Source organism: Homo sapiens, chromosome 2 (assembly GCF_000001405.40).
Source record: "Homo sapiens chromosome 2, GRCh38.p14 Primary Assembly".
NCBI lineage: Eukaryota > Metazoa > Chordata > Mammalia > Primates > Hominidae > Homo > Homo sapiens.
In genome coordinates this window covers 207,617,419-207,635,195 of record NC_000002.12, presented here as the reverse complement: position 1 = coordinate 207,635,195, position 17,777 = coordinate 207,617,419, and the positions used below count along the sequence as shown (strand labels likewise).

The 17,777-nt window shown below is 47.0% G+C and overlaps 1 protein-coding gene across 38 annotated transcripts in view, besides 4 other annotated features; it reads left to right on the top strand.

The window, feature by feature from the left end:
• Positions 7,929-8,631: an enhancer, noted in NCBI's record as "H3K27ac-H3K4me1 hESC enhancer chr2:208491289-208491991 (GRCh37/hg19 assembly coordinates)". NCBI's record gives its function as "activates a minimal SCP1, AML or CMV promoter by ChIP-STARR-seq in primed H9 embryonic stem cells {active_cell/tissue: H9 hESC(primed)}" and the evidence as "EXISTENCE:reporter gene assay evidence [ECO:0000049][PMID:30033119]".
• Positions 8,632-9,336: an enhancer, noted in NCBI's record as "H3K27ac-H3K4me1 hESC enhancer chr2:208490584-208491288 (GRCh37/hg19 assembly coordinates)". NCBI's record gives its function as "activates a minimal SCP1, AML or CMV promoter by ChIP-STARR-seq in primed H9 embryonic stem cells {active_cell/tissue: H9 hESC(primed)}" and the evidence as "EXISTENCE:reporter gene assay evidence [ECO:0000049][PMID:30033119]".
• Positions 9,143-17,777, top strand: part of METTL21A (methyltransferase 21A, HSPA lysine) — a 45,419-nt gene continuing 36,784 nt past the window's right edge. For 6 of the 38 annotated variants that reach the window (NM_001393567.1, NM_001393566.1, NM_001330135.2 and 3 more), the window contains exons 1-3: positions 9,802-9,931; positions 10,792-10,967; positions 13,279-13,390. In NM_001393567.1, coding sequence (NP_001380496.1) covers positions 10,821-10,967; positions 13,279-13,390 — 259 coding nt within the window. In that variant the 5' untranslated portion in view covers positions 9,802-9,931; positions 10,792-10,820. Of the gene's footprint in view, positions 9,520-9,801; positions 10,135-10,207; positions 10,355-10,577; positions 10,968-13,278; positions 13,391-14,405; positions 14,556-17,777 lie in introns of those variants that run through there. The other 32 variants (NM_001308021.3, NM_001388427.1, NM_001330131.2 and 29 more) reach the window with 15 other exon arrangements.
• Positions 9,607-10,206: a silencer, noted in NCBI's record as "silent region_12281". NCBI's record gives its function as "represses an Ori minimal core promoter by ATAC-STARR-seq in GM12878 lymphoblastoid cells {active_cell/tissue: GM12878}" and the evidence as "EXISTENCE:reporter gene assay evidence [ECO:0000049][PMID:35858748]".
• Positions 15,294-15,383: an enhancer, noted in NCBI's record as "active region_17042". NCBI's record gives its function as "activates an Ori minimal core promoter by ATAC-STARR-seq in GM12878 lymphoblastoid cells {active_cell/tissue: GM12878}" and the evidence as "EXISTENCE:reporter gene assay evidence [ECO:0000049][PMID:35858748]".

Here is a 17,777-nt window from a genome sequence, read left to right as displayed (position 1 = left end):
ATCTGACATCTTGCTATGGTTTGAATGTGTTCCCCCAAAAGGCATGCATTGGAAACTTAATCAGTGTTGGGAGGTGGGGCCTAATGGAGGTATTTAGGTCATAAGGCTCCACCCTCATGAATGGATTAATAATGATTATAAAAGGGCTTGAGGGTGCAAGTTTGAACTCTTGCTCTCTCTCACTCCTTCTTTGTGTTTCCTTCATGGGATAGCACAGCAAGAAGGTTCTCCCCAGATGCCAGCCCCTTGATCTTGGACGTTCTAGCCTCCAGAACCAGAAGTCAATAAATTTCTGCTCATTATAAATTACTCAGTCTTAGATAATTCTTTTTTTTTTTTTGAGATGGAGTCTCGCCCTGTCACCCAGGCTGGAATACAGTGGTGCGATCTTGGCTCACTGCAACCTCCACCTCCTGAGTTCAAGTGATTCTCCTGCCCCAGCCTCCGAAGTAGCTGGGATTACAGGTGCACGCCACTATGCCCAGCTAATTTTTGTATTTTTAGTAGAGACAGGGTTTCACTATGTTGGTCAGGCTGGTCTCAAACTCTTGACCTCGTGATCTGCCCGCCTTGGCCTCCCAAAGTGTTGGGATTACAGGCGTGAGCCACCTCGCCCAGCCGGTAATTCTTCTATAGCAGCACAAAATGGACTAAGATACATCTCCTTACTTTCAAATATTGACACTAAACTAAAAAACAAAACACCATGAGAGCCAAGTCTGCATGGGACACACAAAACACATCTGTAGGTCAAGGCTTTTTGGAGGCTGCCAGTCGGGGACACTGCCTCCATCCTGCCCTGGATCCTCAGCACTGCATCCTCTCTGGTCACATTAGCATGTAACTCCGCTCCCACTCCTGTACATACCACCAGGAAAACCTGAACTCAAAATGCCCTGTGTCACCTGGGAAGAGGCACTGCTCAAATACATGAGCTCTTGGAATTACAAGCTAGCACTTTCACTTGACTATTTACTATTCTCTTCTTGATGTTGTCTTTTGGTTTGACTTACTTAAAATGTACCTGCTTTTCTAATTACACACAAATTAACCTATAAATTATGAAAAGGCAAATGGCTTCATACCTTTTCTTGGAATCATCAAAAGATAAGACAGTCAATAGCTTCTTACCCAAACATGTACTATACCTGGGAATATTATTGAACCCTAGGTTAATGAAACACAAATAATGAAAGTAACTACAAATTCTTCAGCATCATTAACTCAAAGGTATCTAATAAGTTGAATTCGCATTTAAACACTTTTGGAGTGAGGTGGGCAATAATTTGATGTGATGTATTGTAACATTCATTCATTCATTCATTCATTCATTCATTCAACAAATAGTTGTCCAGCCGTTTCCAGCTGAAAGCCACAGATGTGACTCTAAAACCCAACAGAACACAAGTCTGGAAACTTCTCCCCTAGCTGCTGCTTCTATTTTGTTGTAGAACAAGAGCATCAGGCATGGCTGCAGTTGTCCAGGAGCTGTGATCAAAAATGCGATTTCATCAGCAAAATGAAAAATCCAAATGTAGCTATTTATGCTGCATATTCCCTCAAGGTAGCGCTGAGCAGTTGTCTTGTTTTTTCTCTCTGCAGTCAGGTCTTACGGAAATACTGAGAAGCTAGACAAGAACTTAAAAAAGACAGTGGTGAACACAGTTATACCAAGACTCTGTCTATGGTTGTCTTTCTTTAGCACCAGCTGGAGCTTTATTCCTTAAGGCTTTTTGAATATCCTTAAGCCAACTCCTTAGCTGTATGGTAGTGTCTTCAGGGCAGCCAGCCTCACCCTTGAGGGCACCCAGGGTCTGTGACTCACACAGAGAGTTGTGTAGTGATGATGCAAAAATACCTCTCCTGCAGGGTGTAAGTTGTTAGTGGAGTTTGGGTAGTTCAAAGCTTTCATTCTTCTGTTTGACTTAATCTTAAGAGTTATCTTGTGCCACTTACCCCTTGCTCCTGGCTGGTCAGTTGACAGTTTCTTCTGCCTGGGGGCTTTTGCAGTTTCTGTTCCCTTGCTTGAAATGCCATTCCCTTGGCTCTTCAAGTGGCTGTTTTCTTCTACTCTTTTAAATTTCCATTTAAATGTCACCTCTTCAGAGCCCTCTCCTTTCCCCAGCTCAAATGGCCTGCCCTTGTGTATTAATGGAGATAGGCTATATGCTACAATAGTGAATAAATTCCAAATGTCAGTGGTTAACATGACAAAGATTGATTTCTTGCTCATGTCACAATCCACTGTGAGTTGAGCAACTCTCCTCTAAGCAATGACTCAGGGATCCAGCTTCTCCAGTTTGCCCACCTCTGAGGGTGTGCAGATGGGGAAGAAAGGGCTTTTAGGCAGGGACATTACGGCCCACATCATACTGGCCAGGACCCAGGCATATGAGCAAATGGCCTCAAGTTATTTCGAAGGAGGGGTGAAAAACTAGTTTTCTTCTACATTGATTTTTTTTTTTTTTGAGATAGGGCCTCACTCTGTCACCCAGGCTAGAGTGCAGTGGTGCGATCATAGCTCACTGCAGCCTCGAATTCCTAGGCTCAAGTGATCCGGCTACCTTGACCTTCCAAATTGCTGGGATTAAAGGCGTGAGCCACCGCGTCCAGCCAGTTTTTGTTTTTTTTTTCTAATAAAAATTTTACTTTATTTTCTTTCTCCACTTTTGAAGAACAGATGAATTCACTTAATTTTCACAGCAAAGATAAATAGTAATATAATGATCATTTTACAGATAGGACATTGAGGCTCAGAAAGGCTAGGTGACTCACCCACGGTCACCCAGCTAAGCACTGAGGTTAGAATCCAGGACACCAGCCTCCAAAGCCCACTTTGAACACACTCTCTCTATACTGCTTTCACGTTAAAGATAACAAGAAAACTGATAATGTATCAGTTGTATATTTACAGTCAGTGATAGGAAGTCAGTGTTATAAGTATTCTTATTATTTAGTCCTTGAACAACAGTAACTCAGACAAAAGATAGTTTTGCCAAGAAGGCTAAGAAGCAGTGTAGACTAGTGGTTCTCAAAATATGGTCTGCAGTTTCTGGGAAACTCTAACACCTCTCTACAGCATCTATGAGATTGCAACTATTTTCGTAATAATACTAAGATGTTATTTGCCCTTTTCGTTCTCATTCTCCCATGAGTATACTGTGAAGTTTTCCAGGGGTTCCCTGATATGTGAGGATGTCACTGCTGTGATGTTAATCCATAATGGAGGTATGGCTGCTACCTTTACATAAAATAACAAATAGTTTATTATTTTAAGTTTTAACTTCTTAAAACTTAACATTTCTAACACAATAAATATGAATGGTTCTTGGGAGTCCTTAATAATTTTAAGGAGTGTAATAGATCCTGAGACCAAAAAATGTGAGAACTGCTGCTGGGTTAGACAGTGCAAGGAAATGTGTTTTCTGCTATCAGTTTAATCTCTAGTGTACAGCAATTAAGGATCTCAGTTAAAAAAAAAAAATATTTTAGGCTAGGCACGGTGGCTCGTGCTTGTGCTTTGGGAGGCTGAGGTGGGTGGATCACTTGAGTGTAGGAATTCAAGACCAGCCTGGGCAACACAGTGAGACACCATCTCTAAAAAGAAAAAAAAATCTTTAAAAATTCTGTCTCAATTTCTTTTTTTTTTTTTTTTTTGAGATGAGGTCTTGCTCTGCTGCCCAAGATGGCGTGCGAGGGTGCAATCTCGGCTCACTGCATTCTCCGCCTCCCGGGTTGAAGCAATTCTTCTACCTCAGCATCCTGAGTAGCTGGGATTACAGTGGTGCACCACCACGACCGGTTATTCTTTGCATTTTCAGTAGAGATGGGGTTTCACCATGTTGGCCAGGCTGGTCTCGAACTCCTGACCTCAGGTGATCCACCTGCCTCAGCCTCCCAAAGTGCTGGGATTACAGACGTGAGTCATAGTGCCTGGTCTTCAATTTCTTTTTCCCTTTTTTTTTTTTTTTTTGAGACGGAGTCTCACTCTGTCGCCCAGGCTGGTGTGCAGTGGCGCGATCTCGGCTCACTGCAAGCTCTGCCTCCCGGGTTCATGCCATTCTCCTGCCCCATACTCCCGACTAGCTGGAACCACAGGCGCCCGCCACCATGCCCGGCTAATTTTTTGTATTTTTAGTAGAGATGGGGTTTCACCGTTTTAGCCAGGATGGTCTCGATCTCCTGACCTCGTGATCCGCCCGCCTCAGCCTCCCAAAGTGCTGGGATTACAGGCGTGAGCCACCGCGCCTGGCCTCAATTTCTTTAAATTTTTTGAAGAACACTTTTAATACTACCTATATTATAACATTGAATAGGTCTGAGGAACTTACAGAATGTTTATATTCTGTCTACATCACTTCCTAAAAACAAAAAACATCCTTTTCACTGGGACTCTGGCTGTATGTATGTCACAGGCACTCCAGCGAGCTTAATCAAGAAAGGAAAATGTCTTGTCTGGTTACCCTGGGTTCCCATGGGACCTGAGAACCCAGGTGCAGCCAGGAAGGGCTCAGGACAAGAGAGGCATCAGGAAAACGGCAGCTGGCAGCTCAGCCCCAAGTTTCTGCTGGTGACTGCTCTCTGTAGAATGGTTTCTCCATCTATACCGCACAGTGAAGATGGCCCCATACAGGCATGGCTTTATATCTCTCCTTTGCTCAAGGGACCGGCCCAGACTGAATGTATTAGGATTGTTTTTCTTCTTCAGGATATGGAAAAAAAAAAAAAAAGCTGCTCAAATGACAGCTTAAGCTAATTAGGGAATTTAATGGCTCAAATAACTGAAAATTCCAGGACAGCTGGATCCAGGTGGTCAAACATCAACAGGAGGCAGCCTCTCTCTCCACCAGCGCCTTCACTGGCCACATTTGCTGCTAGTTTTGTTCTCTTGGGACCAGATGGCCAATAGGACCTCTAAATTTCTATCCTTCCCCAACAGGCTGGTTCTCTGAGAGTCTCAAGTCTCAGAATGGGTTCTGGTTAGGCCCAGCTTTGGTTACATGTTCACATCTCACCTACCTGTGGCCAGGTGGAAGGACTGTGTTCATATTGGCCAGGCCTGGGGCATGTGCCTGATCATGTAGTAAGGGCTGAGGATAGACCAGTCCAAACACATAACAGTATAAGCAAATGCTCTATAAAATGTGTTTGTTGGGCGCAATTCTAAGTAGATAAGTTAACTCATTTTAATCTCAGGTTATCTTTGTTGTTTACTCATACAATAATCACATTATCCCTATTTTATAGATGAGGACATTGAGACACAGGTTAATGCATTTCACCCAAGCCCTCACAGCTAATAAATTGCAGAGCTGAGTTGGTGCAGAACTTGCACTCCAGAAGCTGGGCTCCTGACCATCAGCAGAAGAGAACTGCTGCTACCAGGAAAATGAGAAATAGATGTTGGGCAGGCAGTAACAACAGATGTCTGATAGTCACTCTGCATTCTTTCTGCAGAGAGAATTATGTACCCAGCGTGGGGTTGGGTATCCACCCTGGCCTAAAAAGGGAACATGCCTGGGGGAACATAGGGATCAAGCTGTGCCAAGGTAGTAGCAAGGTGACTGCTTCTACTATGACCTTGGACATGGACTAGTTCCAGGAGACAGGAGGGACAAAGGCCTAAGTGTCCTTCTACCATTATTTTGCAGTCAGGCATCATAGGATTGGGAAAAGGACATTTCAATCATTCAGATAAAAGTAAAAAGCACTATTTTTTTTTTTTTTGAGACAGAGTTTCACTCGTTGCCCAGGCTGGAGTGCAATGGCGTGATCTTGGCTCACTGCAACCTCTGCCTACTGGGTTCAAGAGATTCTCCTGCCTCAGCCTCCCGAGTAGCTGGGATTACAGGCATGCGCCATCATGCCAGACTAATTTTGTATTTTTGGTAGAGATGGGGTTTCTCCATGTTGGTCAGGCTGGTCTCGAACTCCTGACCTCAGGTGATCCGTCCGCCTCGGCCTCCTAAAGTGCTAGGATTACAGGCGTGAGCCACCTCGCCCAGCTAAAGCACTATTTTATACACTGTTAACACTACGATTAAACTGCACTTCGGAATTACAAACAATGCGGGAAGTAAATCTATCTTTTTGCATATTCCTAACAAGACTGTCAGGAGAGGCCAGGCTCAGTGGCTCCCGCCTGTAATCCCAGCACTTTGGGAGGCTGAAGAAGGAGGTGGGGGGATCACTTGAGGCTAGGAGTTCAAGTCCAGCCTGGGCATCATGTCAAGACTCTATGTCAAGACTCTCTCTATACAAAAAATAAAATTAGCTGGGTGTGGTGGCACACACCTGTAGTCCCAGCTACTTAGGAGGCTGAGGTGGGAGGATGCCTGAACCCAAGAGGTCCAGGCTGCAGTGAGCCATGATTGCACCACTGCACTCCAGCCTGGGTGACAGAGTGAGAAGACTCTGTGTCAAAAAAAAAAAAAAAAAAAAAGACTGTCAGAATTTCTTTTTTTTTTTTTTTGAGACAGGGTCTTGCTGTGTCACCCAGGATACAGTGCAGTGGTGTGACTTCAGGACTCACTGAAGCCTCCACCTCTGGGCTCACATGATCCTCCCACCTCAACCTCCCACGTAGCTGGGACTATAGGTGTGCACCACCATGCTCGGCTATTTTTTTTTTTAAATTTTTTTTTTTTTGAGACAGAGTCTCGCTCTGTCACCCAGGCTGGAGTGCAGTGGTGCAATCTCAGCTCACTGCAAGCTCTGCCTCCTGGGTTCACGCCATTCTTCTGCCTCAGCCTCCTGAGTAGCTGGGACTACAGGTGTCCACCACCATGCCCGGCTAATTTTTAGTATTTTTAGTAGACATGGGGTTTCACCGTGTTAGCCAGGATGGTCTCGATCTTCTGACCTTGTAATCCACCCGCCTCAGCCTCCCAAAGTGCTGGGATTACAGGTGTGAGCCACTGCACCTGGCCTTTAAAAAAATTTTTTTAGACATGGGGTCTTACTATGTTGGCCAGGCTGATCTTGAACTCCTGGGCTCAAGTGATCCTCCCACCCTGGCCTCCCAAAGTGTTAGGATTACAGGCGTGAGCCACCACACTTGGCCGACTACTCCAAACAATATGTAGTCTGCCACACACCAACTTGTTTTTAGGATTAAAAATGTATTTTCAAATATTCAGTGGACCACTGGCTTATTTTGATAAAAACAGAGCTCTGCTTAATGGCTACACTGCTATACGAGTTGCATATGTTCCTCAATATTCCTTTTGGTGCTTCCTGAGCCATCTGATACAGCTTAGAACATTGGGAGGACAAGACGGTTGAGAAAAAGTAAATGACACCTTCCTAGAAAACTCATAATATAATGAGGCACATGTTCCATGTTAGAGTGCTGGAGAGGTGGGGAAGGTTTTGCTTTGTTTTTTGAGGTCATATGCTTGATTTCAGCAGAAAGGATGGAGAATAGGGAGAAAAAACAGAAGGGGCCCAAGGCTCCATGCCAGGCTTCAGGGATGAGCAGCCTGGGATCTAGCGAGGTTTAGTAATTTCCCAAAGTCATCCCATTTAAAGAGTCAGAGGAATAATTTAAATTTTCCATATTTGTCTGGCCCCAAAGCCCATACATGTTCTTTCTTGTGCCCATTGCTGGTTCTCCCTGCAAAAAGGGACAGAGAGAAAATAAAGGCAAGAAAGGGAGGTCTTCGATAAAGGGAAAGCTGAGAGGCAGAAACACCAAGTGCAGGAGGTAAGAGAGAAAGGAAATACTAAGAGAGAAAGCGAGAGGACCAAAAAAGAAAACGAAAAAGGAGGTAAAAGTCCCTCACTGGTGGTCTTCCAAGTTCCCTGAGGTTACCCTCGAAGCCACAGGCCCCACCTTCCGATGGAAGATTAATCTGGAGGCCGGGGACGCCGCCTACAGGACGGAAGAGGCCAGGAGAGAGAGGTTCAGGCCCCCGCCAGGCTCCCACCGCGGGAAGCAGGCTCCCGGGGGCGGCCCCGGGAGCTCTTAAAAATATCAGCGCTTGCCGGGCGCGGTGGCTCATGCCTGTGATCCCAGCACTTTGCGAGGCCGAGGCGGGTGGATCACCTTTAGTCATGAGTTCGAGACCAGTCTGGCCAACGTGGTGAAACCCCCGTCTCTACTAAAAATACAAAAATTAGCCAGTCGTGGTGGTGGGCCCCTTAATCTAAGCTACTTGGAGGCTGAGGCAGGAGAATCCCTTGAACCTGGGAGGCGGAGGTTGCAGTGAGCCGAGATCATGCCATTGCACTCCACCCTGGGTGACAAGAGCGAAACTCTGAATAATAATAATAAAAAAAAAAAATCAGCGCTCGGGCGGTAGGGGTGGGGGAGGTGGCAGTGGTTCACACCTGTAATCCCGCATTTTGGGAGGCTGAGATGAGCGGATCACCGGAGATCAGGAGTTCAAGGCCAGCCTGGCCAACATGGTGAAGCCCCGTCTCTACTAAAAACACAAAAAAAGCCGGGTGTGGCGGCGGGCGCCTGTAATTCCAGCTACTTTGGAGGCTGAGGCAGGAGAACTGCTTGAACCCGGGAGGTGGAGGCTGCAGTGAGCCGAGATCGCGCCACTGCACTCCAGCCTGGCGACAGAGCAAGACTCCGTCTCAAACAAACAAACAAAATCCCACAAAAATTAGCTGGCGTGCTGGCGCAGGCCTGTAATCCTAGCTACACGGGAGAATGAGGCAGGAGAATCGCTTGAACCCGGAAGGCGGAGACTGCAGTGAGCCGAGTTCGCGCCCTTGCACTCCAGCCTGGGCGACAGAGAGAGACTCCGTCTCAAAACAAAAACAAAAACAAAAACAAAAGCAAAAAACCAAACAAAAAAATCAGCGCTCGGGCCCCCTCCCATGGCCAGCTCTTGGGGCGGGGGACTGGTAAGGGAGGTTTACCCCAGCTGGTTCTAACGTGCAGCCGCGCTGAGAGCGCAGCGGGCGGTGTGGGGCGAGGGGCCCCAGGAGGAAAAAGAAGCCTGCCCCGGGAGGATGCCGGTCCCCGCACGGTCCCACTCAATGGACCCACTCCAGCCGCGCGCTCTGCCAGGGCCTGCGGCCAGGGTACCAGGCCCTCGGCACCTTCCACGTCCAGCGTGGGTCCTCACGGGCAGGTGCGTCTTGGCATCGGGAGGAGGGAGACTGGGGCACTGGAGTCTGCAGCGCCGCCTGGGGCCGGGGCTGGAGCCGAGCGCACGCCCAGAGCTCCGCGCTTCCGACTGCAGCCAGAGCCCGCCGACCCCCGCCCCACTTTAAAAACTTGGACTCGGGCGCCACGTGTTCACTTCCCCCACTGTGCTTTAGTTGAAAAGGGTTTTGTGACTTTTCCACTCGATTGCCGCCAAGCGGGCTATTACGCCGCTTCTGACCCCACCGTGGAGACGCGGGGACTAGAGTGACCATGCCTTCTTCGGAGCGAGCTGTCTCCATCATCCGCTAACGCGCCACCTTTAAAAAACAGGCACAACGCGCAAGCGACAAAGTCAGAGGCAGAGAGCGGCGGAGCACATGATAGAAAAGGTCGAGAGGCACATTCAGCGCCAGGTGGGTGGCTTTTCTCTCCCGCTAGGAGAGCCCAGGGCACCCCATGCTCTCCCTGTGCACCCGCGGCAGTTCGGCACCCCGATCTCACTCTTGCTCCCGCCCCCACAGCGCCTCCCTCGGCGGCGGGGGAAACGGATTAAGTCGTCCGTGTACCCTGGGGACGCACGAGGGAAAGCCCCGGTCCCCCCTCCCGCAACGTCACTCCTCCACCGCGCCACGGCCCGGCCCCGCCCTCGCCGTGAGCTCCGGGGGCACCTGCCGGAGGCTGGGTGCCGGGAGACCGGAAATGCGTGGCTCCGGGCCGGGGCCGCCCGCCCCCGCGTCGCGGGCTCTTTAAGGCCGGCGGTTTTCGCAGCCAGCCCGGGGCGGGGAAAGCGGAGCGCGCGCTCCACGCGGGACCGCCTCCCGGGCCGTAAGTACCGGCGTGGCGGCGCCTCAGCCCGGCCTGGGCGAGCCCTGGGTGCTCCGCCGGGCAGCTCACGGCGCCCCGTATGGCCTGGGGATCCTAAGAGGCCCTGTGACCCCCCTCGCCTGGTCTCCCTCTCACCCCTGGAGGGTTGCCGCAGCTCCGGGGCCCCCGGGCAGGAAGGGCGCACTGGTCGTCCCGGGAGAGGGGTGAGTGGGGGGCAGCTATAGGGGGAGTTCGGGGAGGCCTCCGAGTCCCCGCTGTCCCCGCGAGCCGCTTGGAGGCCCCCAGTGTCGCTCACTTCCAGGGTCGGGGAGACGGAACTGCGGCGACCATGTATTTCTGGTTTATCAAACCGCTAACACCCAGTCTAAGGGCAGGTTCTGTCCCATTGTTATCACTATCGAAGCAGCCGATGGAGGAGGGGAGGTGGGTAGCGAAACCGTAGCGAAAGAACCCGGGCCGCCCGGCTGGCTGCAGCTGCAGTCCGGGCGCCCGGGTCTGGGTTGGAAGCGCTGCTTTCCGCGCTGCTCTGGGGCCCTGGGCGATCACCGCCGCTTCCGCCGCTTGTGTAGTTCTGAATTCACGGAGTGGTAGCAGTGCAGTGTATAGGGTATTCTGCGGAAGTTGGAATGTTCTGGGCTTTTTTTTTCTTCTTCCCCAAACACATCCGTTGACACAAATTCCGAGCCAAATCTCACTCAGATTCGGAAGAGCCATGCAAAAGAAATTGGACAAAGGCTTCCTCCACCTGTTTCTTTTTTTCTTTTGAACTTGTAAACGACCTTAAAAGCATTTGGAGTTAGTTAAGAACAGATAATGTATCTTTTGGCCAGAGCGTCACCCAGGATTCTTTTGCACGGCAGGTCTGAGCAGAGGGCGGGGTGCAGGCGGAATGGCCCTCGTGCCCTATGAGGAGACCACGGAATTTGGGTTGCAGAAATTCCACAAGCCTCTTGCAACTTTTTCCTTTGCAAACCACACGATCCAGATCCGGCAGGACTGGAGACACCTGGGAGTCGCAGCGGTGGTTTGGGATGCGGTAAGTAAGCCCTGGGGGACCTCTGAAAACGTTCACACTTGCAAGACTGGCTTTTATTTTTTATTTTTTTTAGAACAGCTTTATTGAGATATAATTCACATAGCATACACTTTACCTATTTAAAGTGCACAATTCAGTGCGGTTTTAAAAATACAGTATATTCACAGAGTAGTGCAACTATTACCGCTTCAATTTTAAAAGTTTTACTATCACTGCCACTCTCAAACCCGTATCCCTTAGTCACTCCTCTTGTCCCTCCACATAGATTACATTTTAAAGGTGTAAATGAAAGCTGAGGAAAGTTAATGACTTGTCGGAGAGGATAGGAAGGAAAGCCCCCAACTGCTTTGGACACGAGTTAGTCTTTTTTTCTTTTGAGACATAGTCTCGTTCTGTTGCCCAGGCTGGAGTGCAGTGGTGCGATCCTGGCTCAATGCAGCCTCCGCTTCCTGGGTTCAAGTGATTCTCCCACCTCAGCCTCTGGAGTAACTGGGGCTACAGGTGCACGCCACCACACCTGGTTAATTTTTGTATTTTTTGGTAGAGATGGGGTTTCGACATGTTGGCCAGGCTGATCTGGAACTCCTGACCTCAAGTGATCCACCTGCCTCAGCCTCCCAAAGTGCTGGGATTACAGGCGTGAGCCACAGCGCCCAGCCGAGTTAGTCTCTTTATTTCACAGAGTATTGTAAAGTGGCAGAGCCCAAAATGGAGATTATGTGTTTTCTTTAAGTTTTCCATAGTTGTAATTGTTAAAAAATTGTAACTGCTTTTTAACTTCTTCCTCTCCCTGCCCTGTTCTGACTTGAGCCCTCAGCATCTAGCCCCACACCTAGGACTCAGTGGGAACTCAATTAATGTTGAATGCATGATTGGCATAAATACAGTTTGACAGTTTTAACATTGTTAGGGATGTTAAACACGTAGGAATAAAAATCTCAATATATTCTAATGTAGTAATACCACTTCTAGGAATCCAGTCCAGGTAACTACATGGAAGTTACTCTGGTAATAATAAAGATATAGGCCTGGTGTGGTGGCTCACACCTGTAATCCCAGCAGTTTGGGAGGCCGAGGTGGGCAGATCACTTGAAGTCAAGAGTTCGAAACCAGCCTAGCCAACATGGCGAAACTCCATCTCTACTGAAAATACAAAAATTAGCCGTGGTGGCGCACACCTGTAGTCCTAGCTACTCGGAAGGCTGAGGCAGGAGAATCGCTTGAACCTGGGAGGCAGAGGTTGCAGGGAGCTGGGATTGCACCACTGCACTACATCCTGGGTGACAGAGTGAGACTACATCTCAAAAAAAAAAAAAAGATAAATAATAACGAGGAATGGGAAGACTCGTAAATGCTCACCAAGAAGAGGAATTGCCAATTATACTCACAGTATGCGGCTGTGAGAAATAAATTATAGTAACAAGTTATGTTAGCTTTATACACTTCTTTCTGTAGGGTCATAAACAAATGTTGAAACCACACATCAAGTATCCAAAACTTTGGCCAAAACTTACCTTCTGATGCCCAAAACGTATGGTGAGGGCCCCTGTGGGGCGATGACCATCAGTGACGCAGTTCAGAGACCCTTGGGCAATGTGTTGCTTTTTCCCTATGGGTGAAGTTGTGGCTTTGCTGACCTGAGTTTGGTTTAGGAACTGGGCATTCCCTTAAACAAAATCATAGAAATTGTTCATGTCAGTTCTTGCAGAATAGTTGTGTAAACTTCAAGCATAAAAGTGCTGTGACACAGTAAAAAGTTAAGCTTTCCAGGCTGGGTGTGATAGCTCACGCCTATAATCCTAGCACTTTGGGAAGCTGACGCAGGAGCTCAGGAGTTCAAGACCAGCTTGGCCAACATGGCAAAACCCCATCTCTACCAAAAAAACTACAAAAATTAGCTGGGTGTGGTGGTGCACGCCTGTGTCCCAGTTACTGGGGGTGCTGAGGTGGGAGAATCGCTTGAGCTTGGGAGGTGGAGGTTGCAGTGAGCTGAGATTGTGCCACTGCACTCCAGCCTGGGTGACAGATGGACTGAGACTCCATCTCAAAAAAAAAAAAAAAAAAAAATTAAGCTTTCCAGATCCAGCAGGACCCCATTTAGTGTGGGCATCATCTCTGGGCACTGCTGTGGGACCCTGTGCTTGCTCTAAGGGGGAGGTTACCTTGCTGCACCAGCTAAGTTCCTGTGTGTGTTGTTAAGCTGGGAATTGAACCTCGAAGTGGGAGAGGGGTGGGTGTAGCTGACCTGAAACCCTGCAGCTACTCAAGCACATGTTGACCTTAATCGTCATCACACTGTGTTTTCATTCAGGCCATCGTTCTTTCCACATACCTGGAGATGGGAGCTGTGGAGCTCAGGGGCCGCTCTGCCGTGGAGCTGGGTGCTGGCACGGGGCTGGTGGGCATAGTGGCTGCCCTGCTGGGTGAGTGTCATGCATTGACTCCTTAGTGAGCAGAACTCATTGAGAGGTGCATTTGCTGTTTTCTTAGCGCAAAACCCTTCGTGGGTTTTCCCCTTACTGGGTTATTATCTTTTGCTTATACTTATGAGTTGTGGGCCAACTGCTGGGGTTCTTAACTCCAGTGAGGCTAACGGGCTAATTTCTCTCTCTCTAATTTCTGTCTCTCTCTCTCACACACACACACACTCTGTTATTTATACTTCCCATGGGAGATTGCTCTGCCCCCTTCAATTCTGTGATGCCAATAATACGATCTTAAAGTGAGTTGATTCAAGGAGAATAATCTTACCCATGTATAGAGTTTTTTTCACATTCAGGGGCTTTCTTTCCCATACACTATCTGATTTAACCCTGTGAGGGAGATAGAGCAGATAGTCTTTTCTTCATTGCTGAGGAAACTTTGCTGGTTTTTCTCTTGTAGGGAGGGCTAGCCCCCACTATAGTTTGTACTGACTTCTTATTTTTAAAATTGTATGAACAGTATACAGTTCTGACTTGATATCAAAGTTTGTCATTTTAAAATTTGGTATACACACATTAATTGAGGCTTGGAGCTAGAGCATTTTTAGGCTTCATTGTTATTTTTATTATTGACTATTGACTCATTTCTATAACTTCTGACATATATAGTTCAAGCTATCTAATCATAAGGGTAGACCAGCTTTCAAGATACAATGTATAATGTTTATCACTTCCATATTGTCACCTGGTGCTCTTGTTAAAATGCAGATTCTGATTTGGCAGGGCTGGACCAGGGCCTGGGAACCTGCATTTCTAACAAGCAGTAGAAATGTCAGTAGTGATGCCGACACTGCTGGTTCTCAGACTACACTTGGGTAGGAAGGATCCAGGATTCCAGAGTATTCTAAACCCATCGCATTGTCTACAGATATTTGAGGACCAGCTAAAGCCCCTCTTTTGTCCTGCCTGTTTTCCAGAAACCCAATACTTTTTCACTATTTCTTTTTCTGCTTAGCTGCTGCTTTCCAAAATTCGACAGGGAGCATGGGCAGGGGTGGTGGTTGAAAGTCTGTGTAAATTGACAGAGGTTTCCGTCCGTCTTCAACCACAGCACTTAAGTCATCGATGAAGCCCTTGCTGGTACACTGCCTTTTATTCTTTTCAGGTGAGCCTTAGAACATTCCCGTGTATGTTAGGTATTATTTTTAATTTTCATTTTTCAAACAAAGCTGGGATTCTGGGAGATGAAGCTACTTTCTGAAGTCCTGATCACTGGAGATCTGGGACTCAAAACCAGGCTTGTTAGACACAGTTAGTTGTTTTATTTTATTTTATTTTATTTTATTTTATTTATTTATTTTTTGAGATGGAGTCTCACTCTGTTGCCCAGGCTGGAGTGCAGTGGCATGATCTCGGCTCACTGCAACCTCCGCCTCCCGGGTTCAAGCAATTCTCCTGCCTTAGTTTCCCTAGTAGCTGGGACTACAGGCATGTGCCACCACGCCCAGCTAATTTTTTATTTTTGGTAGAGATGGGGTTTTACCATGTTGGCCAGGCTGGTCTCGAACTCCTGACCTCAGGTGATCTGCCCACCTTGGCCTCCCAAAGTGCTGGGATTACAGGAGTGAGCCACCGTGCCTGGCCTGTTTTATTTTTTTCTGTAACACCAACTTCTCTCTCTGCTGATATAAGAGTTACTATAAGGGGAAATGAGGTTTCTTCTGTTTCCTCCTGAGAACCAGGGCTTCATGCAAAACTTTCTTGGCTGGTGTATAGACATGTTAGTGTAGCAAAGTGCATAGGCTTAGTTATACTTGGTTTTGACATTTCTTTTCATTCTTACTAGTCGTGTGACCTTGGGCAAGTTGCTTAACCTTTAAACATTGATTACCCCATCTGTACATTGTGCATAATAGTAATATTTACTCCACAGTGAGGAACCAATGAGATTGCGTGTATAACATCTGCTGGCTCACTGAGTGACACAAAGGAAGTGCTCCACGAGTGTTGATTACTCTCTGAGTAACTGCTTTTTCTGATCTAGCAATCTGGTTCTCTGGGGTTGGGAAAGTCAGAATAAGATATTTCAGATACCACCAGAGTTACCATTAGCATTTTGGTATGTTTTGTTTCTCTCCATCTGTATTTTTAATCATAGTTGTAATTATGATTATATATATGTAAATATATATGTCTGCGTATGTGTGTTTTGTGTATCCGTATACACACACCTATACAAATGATGTTTTCACATTATGTCATAAGCATTTCTCTGCTACTGTATGATTTTCATACTCACTATTTGTAGTCACTACAAAGTGTTAGGTTGGAGAAGTTTTGCTGTTGGAGCCTGAGGGTAAGAAAATGTTAGTCTCTTCAAAATAGAATCAGTGAGTACTAGAATAGGTAGTGATTTTGAAATGTCAGGAAGAGATTAATTATTATTCTTTTTAAAGTATATTCTCTTTTTGTAACCTTAGTCATTTATTCCTGAATTTGGGGAGAACCCACCAGAAGCCTGGCGGTCCACTGTGGATGGGGCAATAAACAGGCTGGCAGGTGTCTCCGGAAGCTTACGTTCTGAGTTTAGTGGGTAGAGGTAAAGAAAGAAGATTAAAAAAAAAAAAAAAAAGCGGTGCTATGTAGATATTAATATAGGGTGATGAGACTTTCCTGTTAAAAACCAGCTGCTAATTCCTGAGTAGTTCCTGTGTTCTGAGGACTGTGCATTACACCCTTTCATTCTCACAGTCACCCTGCATGGTAAGTAGGCCTTACCTACTTATAGCGCCCTTCCAGTGGTGAAAGGGAGGCTTCTTGGAGGGTAAGTAACTTGCCTGAGGTCACAAAGCTAATGGATTGTGCTTAGAATTTGAATCCAATCTGACTCTCAAATCCTCGTTCTTAGTTTGAAAATCTCCCTGGTCTTATGGTACTTGGAACTGTAGCAGTCCCCCCTCACCTGTGATCACTTTCCCTGGCTTCAGTTACCCACTGTCAGCCTTGGTCTGAAAACAGGTGACTAGAGTATGATAAGATATTTTTTAGAGAGAGAGAGAGACCACATTCACATACCTTTTGTTGTTGTTGTTGTTTTTGAGATGGAGTCTCACTCTGTCACCCAGGCTGGAGTGCAGTGGTGCGATCTCGGCTCACTTCAATCTCTGCCCCCGCCTCCGGGTTCTAGCGATTCTCCTGCCTCAGCCCATTGAGTAGCTGGGATTACAGGCACCTGCCTCTGCACCAGGCTAATTTTTTTTTGTATTTTTAATAGAGATGGGGTTTCACCATTTTGGCCAGGCTGGTCTTGAACTCCTGACCTTGTGATCCACCCATAACTTTTATTATGGTATATTGTTATAATTATCTTGTTTTATTATTTATTGTTTATCTCTTACTGTGTATAATGTAGAAATTAAACTTTACCATAGGTATATACATATTGGAAAAAGCATCTTATATACAGGGTTTGTTACTATCTGTGGTTTCAGGCATCCACTGGGGGTCTTGGAACATATCCCTTGCAGATAAGAGGGAACTGCTGTATCCATAGAATAAAAACACCCCATCTTGAAGATAGGAGGATTCTGTAAATTGGGATGGGGTCAGGGAATCTGAATTTTAAAAGTTTCCCATGTGATTTGATGCCCAGCCAAGGCTGGGGACCACTGTCTTGAAATATAATGCTGAGGAAGATACTGTCTTTGATTTTCCTGTAATTCGAGTGCAAATCTCAGCTGAACTTATGGCTTGTGTGTTTAACTGAAAGCTGGATATCTATACCTGGCTATTTCCCAGCACCTCAAATGGTATCTGTTTAAAGCCAAACTCTTTTCTTTCTAAACTTGTTCTTCCTCCTTTATTCTGAGTTGGCATCACCTTCTAAGTAGTCACCGCCCCCACCCAACTCCTTGACTCCCCGTCTACCTCCCCTACCCCTTGGAGTCCCACTGATTCCGTCTTTTAACTATTTCCTGGATCTGTCTCTCTCTGTCCACTCCCACTGCCTGGCTTGAGCTCTCATCATCTGTCACCTGCCTGCATGATCACATCACTCTTCCACCTGGCCTGTCTGCCTCTGTTTCGTCTTTTTAAACCTATTTTCTCAATAGCTGTCAGAGTGGCCCATCTGAAATGCAAAATTGATGGCATGACCTGTGCTTGAACACTTGTTTGCCTTCCCACTGCCTGCCTGCAGGCTAAATCCCAGGCGTCTTAGTAAGGCTTTGTTATCGCATCCTGCCTGACTCTTCAGCCTCACTTTTTCTCAGCAAGATTGGAGTGCATGAAGTTCCTGGGACACACATCCTGCTCTGGCCTGTCCCATCTGCCTTGGATGCCCTTTCTTCACACCTTTTCCTTGGTTCATGCCTCATCTTTTAAGCGT